The 14,071-nt window shown below is 57.7% G+C and overlaps 3 protein-coding genes across 12 annotated transcripts in view, besides 6 other annotated features; 2 read left to right on the top strand and 1 right to left on the bottom strand.

Moving 5' to 3' along the window:
* On the top strand, window positions 25-5,749 carry TRADD (TNFRSF1A associated via death domain). 2 transcript variants are annotated; one of them, NM_003789.4, is made up of 5 exons: window positions 25-96; window positions 3,266-3,424; window positions 4,280-4,557; window positions 4,640-4,838; window positions 4,975-5,749. In NM_003789.4, the coding sequence occupies exons 2-5, from the start codon at window positions 3,274-3,276 to the stop codon at window positions 5,283-5,285; spliced, it is 939 nt and encodes a 312-aa protein (NP_003780.1). In that variant the 5' UTR covers window positions 25-96; window positions 3,266-3,273; the 3' UTR covers window positions 5,286-5,749. The 2 variants fall into 2 exon arrangements, with proteins under 2 accessions (NP_003780.1, NP_001310481.1); NM_001323552.2 differs by having other exon boundaries at window positions 25-109.
* Window positions 597-856: an enhancer, noted in NCBI's record as "active region_10952". NCBI's record gives its function as "activates an Ori minimal core promoter by ATAC-STARR-seq in GM12878 lymphoblastoid cells {active_cell/tissue: GM12878}" and the evidence as "EXISTENCE:reporter gene assay evidence [ECO:0000049][PMID:35858748]".
* Window positions 3,417-4,318: an enhancer, noted in NCBI's record as "H3K4me1 hESC enhancer chr16:67189519-67190420 (GRCh37/hg19 assembly coordinates)". NCBI's record gives its function as "activates a minimal SCP1, AML or CMV promoter by ChIP-STARR-seq in naive H9 embryonic stem cells {active_cell/tissue: H9 hESC(naive)}" and the evidence as "EXISTENCE:reporter gene assay evidence [ECO:0000049][PMID:30033119]".
* Window positions 4,185-4,254: a silencer, noted in NCBI's record as "silent region_7583". NCBI's record gives its function as "represses an Ori minimal core promoter by ATAC-STARR-seq in GM12878 lymphoblastoid cells {active_cell/tissue: GM12878}" and the evidence as "EXISTENCE:reporter gene assay evidence [ECO:0000049][PMID:35858748]".
* Window positions 4,295-4,484: a silencer, noted in NCBI's record as "silent region_7582". NCBI's record gives its function as "represses an Ori minimal core promoter by ATAC-STARR-seq in GM12878 lymphoblastoid cells {active_cell/tissue: GM12878}" and the evidence as "EXISTENCE:reporter gene assay evidence [ECO:0000049][PMID:35858748]".
* B3GNT9 (UDP-GlcNAc:betaGal beta-1,3-N-acetylglucosaminyltransferase 9) lies at window positions 8,936-11,830 on the top strand. Its single transcript, NM_033309.3, has 2 exons — window positions 8,936-9,069; window positions 9,263-11,830. Exon 2 carries the CDS (start codon window positions 9,449-9,451, stop codon window positions 10,655-10,657), a length of 1,209 nt encoding a protein of 402 aa, NP_171608.2. The 5' UTR covers window positions 8,936-9,069; window positions 9,263-9,448; the 3' UTR covers window positions 10,658-11,830.
* Window positions 8,981-9,140: a silencer, noted in NCBI's record as "silent region_7581". NCBI's record gives its function as "represses an Ori minimal core promoter by ATAC-STARR-seq in GM12878 lymphoblastoid cells {active_cell/tissue: GM12878}" and the evidence as "EXISTENCE:reporter gene assay evidence [ECO:0000049][PMID:35858748]".
* Window positions 9,151-9,580: a silencer, noted in NCBI's record as "silent region_7580". NCBI's record gives its function as "represses an Ori minimal core promoter by ATAC-STARR-seq in GM12878 lymphoblastoid cells {active_cell/tissue: GM12878}" and the evidence as "EXISTENCE:reporter gene assay evidence [ECO:0000049][PMID:35858748]".
* Window positions 11,390-14,071, bottom strand: part of PHAF1 (phagophore assembly factor 1) — a 38,604-nt gene continuing 35,922 nt past the window's right edge. For all 9 annotated transcript variants that reach the window (NM_025187.5, XM_006721284.4, NM_001320541.2 and 6 more), the window contains 2 exons: window positions 13,584-13,656; window positions 11,390-12,889 (listed from right to left, as the gene is read on the bottom strand). In NM_025187.5, the coding sequence (NP_079463.2) occupies window positions 12,803-12,889; window positions 13,584-13,656 (160 nt within the window). In that variant the 3' untranslated portion in view covers window positions 11,390-12,802. The remainder of the gene's footprint in view (window positions 12,890-13,583; window positions 13,657-14,071) is intronic.

The raw sequence follows: 14,071 nt of genomic DNA, 5'->3' as shown, positions 1-14,071 counted from the left end.
AGGGCACCGCCCCAGCGCCTCCGCGCACACCCGGAAGCGGCGGAGTAGAGCGGAGCCTGGCGGGCGTGGGAACCCAGGCCCCGCCGAGGCGGCCAGGTTAGTGCAGCAGGTGGGTGGGTGGGCTCCCCGGTGCGGGCGGGAGAGGAGGTGGATCTTGGCTCCGAAGCGTGGGCGCGGCGCAGATGTCACCGGCGGCTGCTCCAGCCAGCTGGTGGCGGCGGTCTACTGAGCTGTTCGAACACCGTGGGAGGCGGGGGACGGTACGGAATTTGGCCCCCGCAGGCTCCTCGTCCCTGCCAGCACTTTCGAGGTGCAGTAGGGCCCTGCAGGAGAGAGGGTGGGGGAGAAGGGGCTGGTTCTGAATACTTTCCTTGAGCGGAGACCCCCTTGCCCACCCCAGCCGATCGCACGTGCGAAACCCCAGCTTGAGGGTGGGCTAGTGGGAGCCTGGGAAGCTCCCCTCAAGCGCTCGGGAGCTGCGTAGCTGAGTAGGGGGTGTGCCCGGCGGGTCGCAAGGAGTCACAGGCTTTCAGTTCTGGGCCACGCCCACAGGCTGTCTCTGTCCACCCAGCCAGAGGTGGGGCTGCCCCCGGGACTGTTAGGTGTTCAGGGGGCACCGTGCGTGGCTCGTCCCTGGAAACAGGCGCAGAAGTTGTTAGGTCGGTACCTAAGCGCCCCACAGTCTCCGGCCACCAAACTTTCTCAGGACCCAGCCTGGAAGCCTCAGCCCCGCCCAAAAAGGGACGACTCCTGGTGGGTGGGGCGCGGGGCTTCCCAAGGAGGGGCTTCCGTGAAAGAACACGTAAGAAGAGCTGCCAGTCGGCGGATGCGAAACTAGGGCCCTGGCCTCTTTACCCTGTTAACTCGACCTCCAGCCTGGTTCACCTTCCCCATCTTCTAGTACTAGTGAGTGTGAGAAAGCATCCCCAGTCTCCAGGTTCCCAGTACTCCCCACCTCCCCCTCGACCCCCACAGACCTGATGGGCAGACAATGGTCCTGTTCGGTCCCCACTTCCACCCCTTGGGGTGGGACCATAACCAAGTCAAGCACTCTCAAGTCAAGGGGCCAGAAAGACATGAAAGAGGGAATGTTTCCAGGGGAAGTTCCCACTCTCTCCTACTCCCCAGGCCACTTTCGAAGGACTCCCCCCTTATCTCACCTCCGTGGCTGGCTCCCTATTATGGACCCACTTGTCACCTGCAGAGTTTCCTGTTTTTTCTTGTTTTGCTTTTAAAGAAAACAAATTTATTTTGCTCTTTTAATACAAAGAAAATATGTCTACTTCACATAAAGCAGAAAATATTGCTAAATACAAAGAAAATAAAAATCACCCACAATCCTTCCCCACCCCCACCTACCTTCCTTCATCCTGCCCAGAGATAAACAAAATGCAAACTTCCTGTTACTATCCAGACTGTGGTTTGGCGTAAGTACACAAGTATTAATGTTTTCTATGAAAAGATTAGAAGGCTGGGTGTGGTGCCTCACACCTGTAACCCAGCACTTTGGGAAGCTGAGGTGGGCAGATCGCTTGAGCCCAGGAGTTTGAGACCAGCCTGGGCAACATGGTGAAACTCCATCTCTACTAAAAATACAAAAACTAGCCAGGCATGGCGGCGTGTGCCTAAAGTCCCAGCTACTTGAAAGGTTGAGGTGAGAGGGTTGCTTGAGCTGGGAAGGTCAAGGCTGCAGTGAGCTGCGATAGTGCCACTGCACTCCAGCCTGGGTGACAGAGCAAGACCCTGTCTCAAAAACAAGACAATTGAAAAAACAAAGGTCGAGAGTAGTGCCTTACTCCTGTAATCGCAGCACTTTGGGAGGCCAGGGCAGGAGGACAGCTTCCTGTTCCTCATGTAAACAGATGGCAGCTGGGCCACCCCATCTGTCCTGCCCCATAGCTAACACTCAACACTCCTCTTAGCCCACCATATATAAACCCTGATGAGAGTACAGGAGTGTGACTGATGGGGCAGGAGGTAGGGCCTTGAGCCCATGATTATAGGAAAAGGGTGGGTAGGAAAAGGGTGAGGTGGGGAGAAAGAGGAGGCAGTTTTCTACTTGCTGTCTCACGGGGTAGTAACTGGGAGACCATTGAGCTGTAGGTCAGTGCAGTGGTTCCTTGGCTGGGAATTTTGCCCCCGCTGGTCCAGAGCTAGGTTTTTGTCAGAAGATGGAGGAAGGAGATACTATACTAGCACCAAGGGGCCCTGGCTTTTTCTGGACAGGGAAGGAATAGAGCAATTTGTGTTGGAAATGACTGGAGCCGAACTCCAAGGGCTTTATAACAAAAAGGAATTATTTAGCTCACATAACTGAAAAGTCCAGTGTGCAATGGCTTCAGGGACGGCTGGATCCAGGGGCCTAGTATGCTTAGGAATGCACTTCTCCATCTCTTGACTCTTTCTTTCTGTGTCAGCTTCATTCCCAGCCAGGCTCTTCCCAAGCAGTGCTAAAGGAGAGCTACCTTTTCCTTCCAGTTCAGCCCCAAGGGAAGGGAAAGTAGTGCCTCTTTCCTATTGGCTCAACCAGAGTCGCAGCGTTGATTCTCATGGGTCCAACTTAAGTCCTATACCCCGCCCTGAACTAATCACTGCAGAAATGTGAATGGAATATGCAGATTGGCCAGGTCTGGTACACAAGCCCGACCTGGAACTAGGGAGTGGGACACAGGCACATGGATTGAGAAGAGGGAGGAGGGAAGTCCCCAAAGGTAAGTCAGGCTTGGGGAGAGAATCTGGGTAGATGCAAACTACAGGTGCCCTTCGAAGTGAAGACAGGAGGTTTAGTCTTAGGCTGAGGTCCTCCAGAAATGCTGGGCTCAAGTCTACTCAGAAGGCAAGGCCAGGATATGGGTCTGGTTGGCTTTGGGGCATGGGCACCATCCAGAATGAAGATGTCTCTTGTCCGCATTGGTAAGAGAGACACACAGGCCTGAGAAGGAAGCAGAGAAGCCCCATTGCAGGATCTGCCTCTGCTCCCCCTCCACTGTGACCTTGGGCTCTTTCTCCAAGAAGGCAGTGGAGGGACAGTCCTCACTGCAAGCCTGGGGCGGGTGGGACTCTGTACAGAGCCAGGAGCTCAAGGGGCTTCCTGTGAGATGGTGAACTCCTGTCCCAAGTATGCCAACCAGTGGTGGGGACAACTGAACCATGTGGGACTTGAGGCTACTGTGGTGGGGACAGCTGAACCACGTGGGGCTGGGTAGTTGTCTCCAGGGTGGAGGGAGGGGGGATGAACTGGATACCTGACTGTCTGCATCTCCAGGAGGTGAGATGGCAGCTGGGCAAAATGGGCACGAAGAGTGGGTGGGCAGCGCATACCTGTTTGTGGAGTCCTCGCTGGACAAGGTGGTCCTGTCGGATGCCTACGCGCACCCCCAGCAGAAGGTGGCAGTGTACAGGGCTCTGCAGGCTGCCTTGGCAGGTGCGTGGATGGGCGGGCATGTGGAGAGGAAGGGGTGGCCTGGAGCATTTTGTGGGTGGGCCTGGGTTTAGCCACCTTTAAGAAGAAGATTTGGGGTGGGAGGAGCAAGACGGAGGACCCCTGGCTGTGCAGACTCTCTTCTTTGCTTGTGGCATGACCTTGAGGATAGGCGTGTGTTCTCGAGTCTGTGTATGATTTACCAATTTGTGCACTAACGTCCTTTGCTCCATCCCCGCCCCCCTCCACCAGCCGGCTCACTCCTTTCTACTAATTGTGGATGTCTCTCTCCTCTTTTCCTCTCTTACTGCAGCACTCCTTGCTCAAGACCCCTCCCCAGTACCTACCCTTCCAGGCCCCCCTTTCCCATCTCAGGGCAGAGGCCACAGGAGGCTGAAGCGGGTTGGGGGATCTGTTCGTGGCCTCAGAGCGGCGAGAGCCCCTCTTCTTCCCGAGCAGTGGGAGTCGCGCTTGGTGGAGGCCGAAGACCTGAGACCTCTCGCCCTCCTCTGCCCTGCTGGCCGCCTACCCAGACGGCTTGTTTGCCCAGGGCACACGCCCCCTTTTCTGTGCTTCGAAGTCCCTCTCTTTTGCCAACCCTCATTTGGGGCGTGAGAGCGGGGGTTAGGTGGCACCCACTCTGTCTTAGGGTGCTCCCTGTGACAGATCCTGGTCTTCTTTCTGGGTTATTGCTGTTTGTATCCCAATTTTGCTTCCCAGCTGGGTACTCTGGGGTAACTGCACCCTAGGTCAGGGGATGGGACGCGGGGCTTCACCACGGGCTTCGCCCCTCCTCCGGCCGTTTGGAGAACGGCCGAGCTTGGGGACCGCCCGGCGCCTGACCGCCCGCCTCCGCAGAGAGCGGCGGGAGCCCGGACGTGCTGCAGATGCTGAAGATCCACCGCAGCGACCCGCAGCTGATCGTGCAGCTGCGATTCTGCGGGCGGCAGCCCTGTGGCCGCTTCCTCCGCGCCTACCGCGAGGGGGCGCTGCGCGCCGCGCTGCAGAGGAGCCTGGCGGCCGCGCTCGCCCAGCACTCGGTGCCGCTGCAACTGGAGCTGCGCGCCGGCGCCGAGCGGCTGGACGCTTTGCTGGCGGACGAGGAGCGCTGTTTGAGTTGCATCCTAGCCCAGCAGGTGCGGCCGGGCTAGGGTCAGGATGGGGTAGGGCGGGGATCCGCGGTTAAGTCCCCCGTGACGGCACGTTCCATTCCCCTAGCCCGACCGGCTCCGGGATGAAGAACTGGCTGAGCTGGAGGATGCGCTGCGAAATCTGAAGTGCGGCTCGGGGGCCCGGGGTGGCGACGGGGAGGTCGCTTCGGCCCCCTTGCAGCCCCCGGTGCCCTCTCTGTCGGAGGTGAAGCCGCCGCCGCCGCCGCCACCTGCCCAGACTTTTCTGTTCCAGGGTCAGCCTGTAGGTGAGGCGCAGGTGGAGAGGCGGGGTCACCAGGAGGTTGGAGTCTGGGGAGGGGCAGGGGTCGTTGCCGGGTGGGGATGGGTGGGACCGGCGCTGGGGGTCCCCGCCCTCACCCCGTTTCCCCACTCCCTCTGCAGTGAATCGGCCGCTGAGCCTGAAGGACCAACAGACGTTCGCGCGCTCTGTGGGTCTCAAATGGCGCAAGGTGGGGCGCTCACTGCAGCGAGGCTGCCGGGCGCTGCGGGACCCGGCGCTGGACTCGCTGGCCTACGAGTACGAGCGCGAGGGACTGTACGAGCAGGCCTTCCAGCTGCTGCGGCGCTTCGTGCAGGCCGAGGGCCGCCGCGCCACGCTGCAGCGCCTGGTGGAGGCACTCGAGGAGAACGAGCTCACCAGCCTGGCAGAGGACTTGCTGGGCCTGACCGATCCCAATGGCGGCCTGGCCTAGACCAGGGGTGCAGCCAGCTTTTGGAGAACCTGGATGGCCTTAGGGTTCCTTCTGCGGCTATTGCTGAACCCCTGTCCATCCACGGGACCCTGAAACTCCACTTGGCCTATCTGCTGGACCTGCTGGGGCAGAGTTGATTGCCTTCCCCAGGAGCCAGACCACTGGGGGTGCATCATTGGGGATTCTGCCTCAGGTACTTTGATAGAGTGTGGGGTGGGGGGGACCTGCTTTGGAGATCAGCCTCACCTTCTCCCATCCCAGAAGCGGGGCTTACAGCCAGCCCTTACAGTTTCACTCATGAAGCACCTTGATCTTTGGTGTCCTGGACTTCATCCTGGGTGCTGCAGATACTGCAGTGAAGTAAAACAGGAATCAATCTTGCCTGCCCCCAGCTCACACTCAGCGTGGGACCCCGAATGTTAAGCAATGATAATAAAGTATAACACGGATTTTGATGTGAGAAATACAAGTAGTAGTGGCTTACACCTGTAATCCCAACAATTTGGGAGACAGAGATAGGAGGATTGCTTGAGCTCAGGAGTTTGAGACCAGCCTGGGTAGTCCCAGCCACTTAGGAGGCTGAGGTGGGAGGATCCCTGGAGCATGGAAGGTTGAGGCTGCAGTGAGATGTCACTGAGCTACTGCACTCCAGCCTGGGTGACAGAGTGAGACCCTGTCTCAAAAAAAAAAAAAAAAAAAGAAAGAAAAAAAAAGAGAAGTTGTGGAGGATGGAGGAAGGGGCCTAACCTGGGCAGGGGACAGGGGGTAGGCTTCCTGGAGGAGATGAGTGTGAGTAGGCATAGGGGTGGGCTATCGAGAGAAGGGCAGTGTTCGGGGCACAGTCTCAGGCAAGGGCTTGAGGAAGGCTTGTGGGTTTTTCAATGAGGCCAGTAGGAAGCCTTTGAAGAGTTTCGGGAGTTAAGACTGGGAGGTGGTTGTTTTTTTTTTTTTTTTAATTTTAATTTTTTTTCAGATGGAGCTTCACTCTTATTTCCCAGGCTGTAGTGTAATGGCACGTTTTTGGCTCACTGCAACCTCCACCTCCTGGGTTCAAGCAATTCTCCTGTTTCAGCCTCCCAAGTAGCTGGGATTACAGGCGCCCACCACCATGCCCAGCTAATTTTGTATTTTTAGTAGAGATGGGGTTTCTCCATGTTGGTCAGGCTGGTCTCAAACTCCTGACCTCAGGTGATCCACCCACCTTGGTCTCCCAAAGTGCTGGGATTACAGGCATGTGCCACCGCACCTGGCCAAGACTGGGAGGTTGATGAGGATGGGGGTGGGGGAAATGGTGGCCCCAGGCTGGGGCAGTAGCAGCAGAGATGGAGGGAAGGGGATGACCACCAAAGAGCTGTGTGGGTGGAAGAGTAACAGGCCTGGTGACACTGGGTGAGGAATGGCTGAGAGAGGGCCCCAAGTTTCTGCCTTTGCCAGTTGGATGGTGGGTGGGACTGCTTGCTGGGATGGGGCCCTGGGGGGAAATGAAATGCTTGCTCTGTTTGGGACAAGTTGAGCATGATGTTCCTGCAGTGCATCCGGGGAGAGAGTATGAGGGTAGTTGGGTCTGTAGTTCTGAGTTCAGGATGAGGGTTCAATCTAAAGATTGATGAATAGACAGGTGGGGAGTGGGTGGGGTGGCCCCAGGGGATGTCCTGAAGGACACCAACCAGAATGGGAACAGCCAAAGAGGAAGGAGGAAAACCAGGAGATTTGGAAACCAGGGGATTACCCACCCACTATAATGGAGCGGGTAGTCAAGACCGAGGAGTGTCTGTTGGACTCAGTTAAAAGGAGCTTACCAGTCAGGGGTCTTTCTGAGTCATGGTGGAGGCAGCCCGAAGCTTTATCACAGGAGGGAATGGAAGGTGAGGCCGCGGAGAAAGCTGGAGCAGAGGACTCCTGATTACTTTGTGACCAAAAAGAGTAAGGCTCAGGGTGGAGATTTGGCTTTTTTTTTTTTTTTTTTTTTTGGAGAGAGTCTCACTCTGTTGCCAGGTTGGAGTGCAGTGGCACGATCTCGGCTCATTGCAGCCTTCGTCTCCCGGGTTCAAGTGATTTTCCTGCCTCAGCCTCCCAAGTACCTGGGATTACAGGCACGTGCCACCATACCTGGCTAATTTTTGTATTTTTAATAGAGACAGGGTTTCTCCATGTTGGCCAGGCTGGTCTCAAACTCCTGGCCTCAAGTGATCCACCTGCCTTGGCCTCCCAAAGTGTTGGGATTACAGGAGTAAGCCACCACGACTGGCCTTTTTTTTTTTTTGAGACAGTCTCGCTCTGTTGCCCAGGATGGAGTGCAGTGGTGTGTTCTTGGCTCACTGCAACCTCCACCTTCCAGGTTCAAGCAATTCTCCTGCCTCAGCCCTCTAAGTAGCTGGGATTACAGGTGCCCACCACCATGTCTAGCTAATTTTTGTATTTTTAGTAGAGATGGGGGTTTCACCACGTTGGCCAGGCTGGTCTTGACTTCCTGACCTCAAGTGATCCACTCACCTCAGCCTCCCAAAGTGTTGAGGTTACAGGCATAAGCCACCACACCCAGCCAGAGAGGTGGCTTTTTAAGATTGAACATTGGTGGGAAGAAGCCGTCAGGAGCAGATATAGCCCTTGGACAGAGGATGGGGCTGGGTTCTTAAGAGACCAGTAGAGGCTGTCTATTCCAGGCTCCACCACATGGGCTGGGACCAAGAAAGAGAGAGCTGGCAGCTGAGCTGCGCAAGGACTTAGCTCTCCATTGCAGAGCACCTCTGTCCACCTGCATCCCAGAGCAATCCTTTAGCCAAGGCCTCCGCCAGGAGTCTTCCCAAGCTGTCCCCATCCTTGCCAGCCCTGTCTGACCTGCAGCTGCACAGGCCTGATCATTTCTACCTGCAGTAGGCTATGCTGGGGACCAGGGGACTCAGAACTGCACCTGGCTTGGGCTCAGGTCCATTAGCCCCCGGGGAGACAGGCTGAAGTGCTTGCCTGTGAAATTAAAGCAGACTGGGTTGGCCCCCTGTTCTGTATCCCAGTGGATGAATGAGCGGGGCAAGGACAGATAAAATAATCCTGGCCTGAATTTCAGAAGACCTGGGGGCAGAGCTTTCTGGCCTTTGGATCCTGGGCAAGTCACTTAACTCCCCGAAGAGCCCCCCAGTGTCCCCATCTGGGCATGAATGAGAGCTGCTGGCAGAGTTGCCCTGAGGATTGGGTGGGCTGCCTTGTTTGTCCCGTGCGTGTGTTTACTGGGGGTGGGGAGCATGGCAGAACCAGGAGTAAGAAGACAGCCATGTGTCTCGGGGGCAGCGTATGCACCCTGCCTGATGGAATCAGGGCTGCTGAGGAGAGGCCCGCCCGGGATGGTGGCCAGGTTCATGCGCATTTGGAACCGGCCTGCTCAGGGGCTCCTAGCAGCCCAGGCTCCGCCCCACTCCAGAGACGCGGGAGTGGGGAGTGGATAGTTGGGGGAGCTAACCAGGGGAGTTGATGCTTCTTCCCAATCCCCAGAAAGGCGAATTTGGGGTGTGAGCACCCAGACCAGCCCTTCCCAGAGGGACTGAGAGTGAGGAGGCTCCCTCTCAGGGATTAGTCCCCACTCTGAGGCCGGAGTGCTCCTGGCGCCGGGGCGGAGCTGAGCTCCAGAAGTCTGGGCGCGCACAGCTGGAGGGTCACGTGGCACGGCACCGGTCCCCCTTCCTGCCAACGCTGCATTTGGCTCGGGCCCGGTCCATGGCGGCCCCTCGGACCCTGCGCTGAGCCCCGGAGGCCAGGGCGTCCGGGGCTGCGCCACTTCCGAGGGCCGAGCGTGAGTGTCGGGACCCCAGGGCCCGACATTGAGGGGATGGCAGGGTGGAAGGGATTCGGCCTCAGCGCGAGGGAGGCGGGCGGGGGAGGGGCCGAGGCTCCCAGTCTCCCTGCCCGGCCCTGGGTCGCAGTCCTGGGCCGGAGCTGAGGCCGCGGGGGAGTTGGCTACATGGGTGAACTTCTTGTCCCTTCAGGCTGCCGGTCCCGGCGGTGCGACACGGCCGGGAGGAGGAGAACAACGCAAGGGGCTCAACCGTCGGTCGCTGGAGCCCCCCCCGGGGCGTGGCCTCCCGCCCCCTCAGCTGGGGAGGGCGGGGCTCGCTGCCCCCTGCTGCCGACTGCGACCCTTACAGGGGAGGGAGGGCGCAGGCCGCGCGGAGATGAGGAGGAGGCTGCGCCTACGCAGGGACGCATTGCTCACGCTGCTCCTTGGCGCCTCCCTGGGCCTCTTACTCTATGCGCAGCGCGACGGCGCGGCCCCGACGGCGAGCGCGCCGCGAGGGCGAGGGAGGGCGGCACCGAGGCCCACCCCCGGACCCCGCGCGTTCCAGTTACCCGACGCGGGTGCAGCCCCGCCGGCCTACGAAGGGGACACACCGGCGCCGCCCACGCCTACGGGACCCTTTGACTTCGCCCGCTATTTGCGCGCCAAGGACCAGCGGCGGTTTCCACTGCTCATTAACCAGCCGCACAAGTGCCGCGGCGACGGCGCACCCGGTGGCCGCCCGGACCTGCTTATTGCTGTCAAGTCGGTGGCAGAGGACTTCGAGCGGCGCCAAGCCGTGCGCCAGACGTGGGGCGCGGAGGGTCGCGTGCAGGGGGCGCTGGTGCGCCGCGTGTTCTTGCTGGGCGTGCCCAGGGGCGCAGGCTCGGGCGGGGCCGACGAAGTTGGGGAGGGCGCGCGAACCCACTGGCGCGCCCTGCTGCGGGCCGAGAGCCTTGCGTATGCGGACATCCTGCTCTGGGCCTTCGACGACACCTTTTTTAACCTAACGCTCAAGGAGATCCACTTTCTAGCCTGGGCCTCAGCTTTCTGCCCCGACGTGCGCTTCGTTTTTAAGGGCGACGCAGATGTGTTCGTGAACGTGGGAAATCTCCTGGAGTTCCTGGCGCCGCGGGACCCGGCGCAAGACCTGCTTGCTGGTGACGTAATTGTGCATGCGCGGCCCATCCGCACGCGGGCTAGCAAGTACTACATCCCCGAGGCCGTGTACGGCCTGCCCGCCTATCCGGCCTACGCGGGCGGCGGTGGCTTTGTGCTTTCCGGGGCCACGCTGCACCGCCTGGCTGGCGCCTGTGCGCAGGTCGAGCTCTTCCCCATCGACGACGTCTTTCTGGGCATGTGTCTGCAGCGCCTGCGGCTCACGCCCGAGCCTCACCCTGCCTTCCGCACCTTTGGCATCCCCCAGCCTTCAGCCGCGCCGCATTTGAGCACCTTCGACCCCTGCTTTTACCGTGAGCTGGTTGTAGTGCACGGGCTCTCGGCCGCTGACATCTGGCTTATGTGGCGCCTGCTGCACGGGCCGCATGGGCCAGCCTGTGCGCATCCACAGCCTGTCGCTGCAGGCCCCTTCCAATGGGACTCCTAGCTCCCCACTACAGCCCCAAGCTCCTAACTCAGACCCAGAATGGAGCCGGTTTCCCAGATTATTGCCGTGTATGTGGTTCTTCCCTGATCACCAGGTGCCTGTCTCCACAGGATCCCAGGGGATGGGGGTTAAGCTTGGCTCCTGGCGGTCCACCCTGCTGGAACCAGTTGAAACCCGTGTAATGGTGACCCTTTGAGCGAGCCAAGGCTGGGTGGTAGATGACCATCTCTTGTCCAACAGGTCCCAGAGCAGTGGATATGTCTGGTCCTCCTAGTAGCACAGAGGTGTGTTCTGGTGTGGTGGCAGGGACTTAGGGAATCCTACCACTCTGCTGGATTTGGAACCCCCTAGGCTGACGCGGACGTATGCAGAGGCTCTCAAGGCCAGGCCCCACAGGGAGGTGGAGGGGCTCCGGCCGCCACAGCCTGAATTCATGAACCTGGCAGGCACTTTGCCATAGCTCATCTGAAAACAGATATTATGCTTCCCACAACCTCTCCTGGGCCCAGGTGTGGCTGAGCACCAGGGATGGAGCCACACATAAGGGACAAATGAGTGCACGGTCCTACCTAGTCTTTCCTCACCTCCTGAACTCACACAACAATGCCAGTCTCCCACTGGAGGCTGTATCCCCTCAGAGGAGCCAAGGAATGTCTTCCCCTGAGATGCCACCACTATTAATTTCCCCATATGCTTCAACCACCCCCTTGCTCAAAAAACCAATACCCACACTTACCTTAATACAAACATCCCAGCAACAGCACATGGCAGGCCATTGCTGAGGGCACAGGTGCTTTATTGGAGAGGGGATGTGGGCAGGGGATAAGGAAGGTTCCCCCATTCCAGGAGGATGGGAACAGTCCTGGCTGCCCCTGACAGTGGGGATATGCAAGGGGCTCTGGCCAGGCCACAGTCCAAATGGGAAGACACCAGTCAGTCACAAAAGTCGGGAGCGCCACACAAACCTGGCTATAAGGCCCAGGAACCATATAGGAGCCTGAGACAGGTCCCCTGCACATTCATCATTAAACTATACAGGATGAGGCTGTACATGAGTTAATTACAAAAGAGTCATATTTACAAAAATCTGTACACACATTTGAAAAACTCACAAAATTGTCATCTATGTATCACAAGTTGCTAGACCAAAATATTAAAAATGGGATAAAATTATACATTTTTCTTCTCAGTTCTTTTCAAAAGGATTAATATTTTTAAAGCACATATATGCTACTTTCCATTAGCAAGACCCATGAAGGGACTGAGCAGCCCAGCCTTCCTTGAGCCCCCAGAGGCTTTGAGCCATGAAATGGCCCAGCCAGGGGCCAGTGCCCAGGGTTGGGGCAGAGAGCCAGCCCACAGTGCAGAACAGAATGCTGAAACACAACAAAAGTAGGAAGATGTCTTTGGCTAAAACTTTGGCATTAAATAAAAGAGGCAAACAGGATGGAAACATGCAGCCCTGCCAGCCAGGATGGGGCAGAGCAGGGGCACAGGCAATCTTGAAAGCTGACTCCAACAGGGGTGAGAACCAGGCCTGGGCATGTACCTGGATGGTAGAAAGCTGTGTTTCAACCAGTTTGGTGTGCCCAGGCAGGGAGCGCGTGCAAGAAAGGAACAGGGAAGGGCAGGTGGGCCACCCTGGCCACAGCCAGCTCATCAAGTAACTAAAGTGGATGTAGTGCAAATGTCGCAACCAAGTACTATGGACACGCTACCTGCTTGCCTTAAGGGTCATGTGGCAATGTGGAGCCAAAGGCAGGACCTTGTCCTTATCCTGGGTGCCTGTGTCCTCAGTCACAGAAAGAGCCCCAAGTCTTCCCAATGTGCATGGGACAAGGGTTGACCTCTCCTGCCTCCTTGTTAGTTGAGAGCTCCTGGGTCCAGGAATCAAGGCTCAAACTTTGTGCTTCTCTTTGCAGTCTGTGTCCCCTGCTGGCACCAGCAGGCCAAAGATGGACAGAAGAATATCTGGGCCACTCAGCCCATGGCAGAGCACCCAGCCTGAGCCCAACCTCAGAACATCACAACAGCCCTTCAGCACTGGCCAGGTGTCCAAGAAAACCCACAGGGTGGTACAGAGGCCCACTGAGCAGGATGTGATGCACAGTTCCACGGGACAGAGGGGCATGGGTGGTGGTGTCCCTAGGGGAGTTCCGCTGTTCTCAGGTGGCTACCAGGCCTGGGGGGGCCATACAGGGTCACCGAGGCAATGTGGTTGTTCTGCATGACCTGGTGTGAGAAGAGGACAGTGGGTCAAGGGGGAGAGGTAAAGGGATGTAGGCAGATCCTGTGCATGAGGGCTGGAGGTTGTGTGACATACCTGCACCTAATGGCTGGGTTTCCCGACTCCTCAACCTCCCCTGGTTCATGCTAAAGGCCCCCCTCTGCCTGAGATCTGCCTGTTTCTCAATGGTTACACACAGCCTTTACCATGGCCACGTGTCCAGTCCTTCTGGAACTGTTAAGTGTCTGCTGGAGATACTGCATCCACAGGGAAAACAAGGGCAGCTTGCTGTTCTCCCAAGTCAGCAGGGCCTCCAGAGCCACTCACTCCCCTACAATGCATTTGTTCACATGCCACTGGAGGGCCCCCAACACCCTCTGCTGGGCCCCACTTGCCCTGTGGTTCCCTTCCCTGCTATAATCATGTTGTCAGATAGAAACTTGGGATCCGTTACCTCCCATCTTGTTGGACACAGACCACTGCTTCGGCCTCTGTGACCCCAGATTTCTCAACATCATTTCTGAACCTTCATTGTTAAGTGTGGGGAGGCCAGGTATGCAGCAGACACGGTTGCTGAAGAAGGATGAATCTGCCCACTATGGCAGTGATGCCCTCCCCAATTTCCCTCCATCATTCACCTGGCCCTGCCATGACCAGCAACCCCCCAGGCAGTTTATTTCTAGGGCTTCCACAGCTTACCTCAAAGATCATTCGCTGAAGACCAAAGCAGAATGTGGAACCAAATGGGTTGGTGTTGTTTGGGGAGGAAGACCTGAGGCCAAAGAATTCAGAATTAGAGAGGCAGACAGAGGCCACGGCCTTAAAGCAAGGGATCCAGTCTTTTCTGGGGTATGGGATACTGGCCAGTAGTCTCTCATGGCTGTGAGTGTCTGTCTGTTTCCCACACAGGCCTGCAAGATCCTAGGGGTAGGGATGGTCTCACTCAACTCAGAATTATACATACAGAGCCCAACAGGACAAAAAAGTTACTGTGGAACTGGACTAGGGTGGCGAGGAGTCAAGAGGGCCCTCTTGAGTGAGAGAATCTCAGGCAGCATGGCAACCAGGAACGGGGCTGTGGACTTCAGCAGGCAGCAGCTCAAAGCTCAAAGGGAAAAAGAGCCCAGGCCAGCCAGCCAAGCCCTCCTTCCTTATTGAATAACTGAGGGTGAGAAGGCCCCCATACC

This window comes from Homo sapiens, chromosome 16, assembly GCF_000001405.40.
Source record: "Homo sapiens chromosome 16, GRCh38.p14 Primary Assembly".
Classification (NCBI taxonomy): Eukaryota; Metazoa; Chordata; class Mammalia; order Primates; family Hominidae; genus Homo; species Homo sapiens.
The sequence above is the reverse complement of the archived record's forward strand: the minus strand, read 5'-3'. Positions and strand labels throughout refer to the sequence as shown.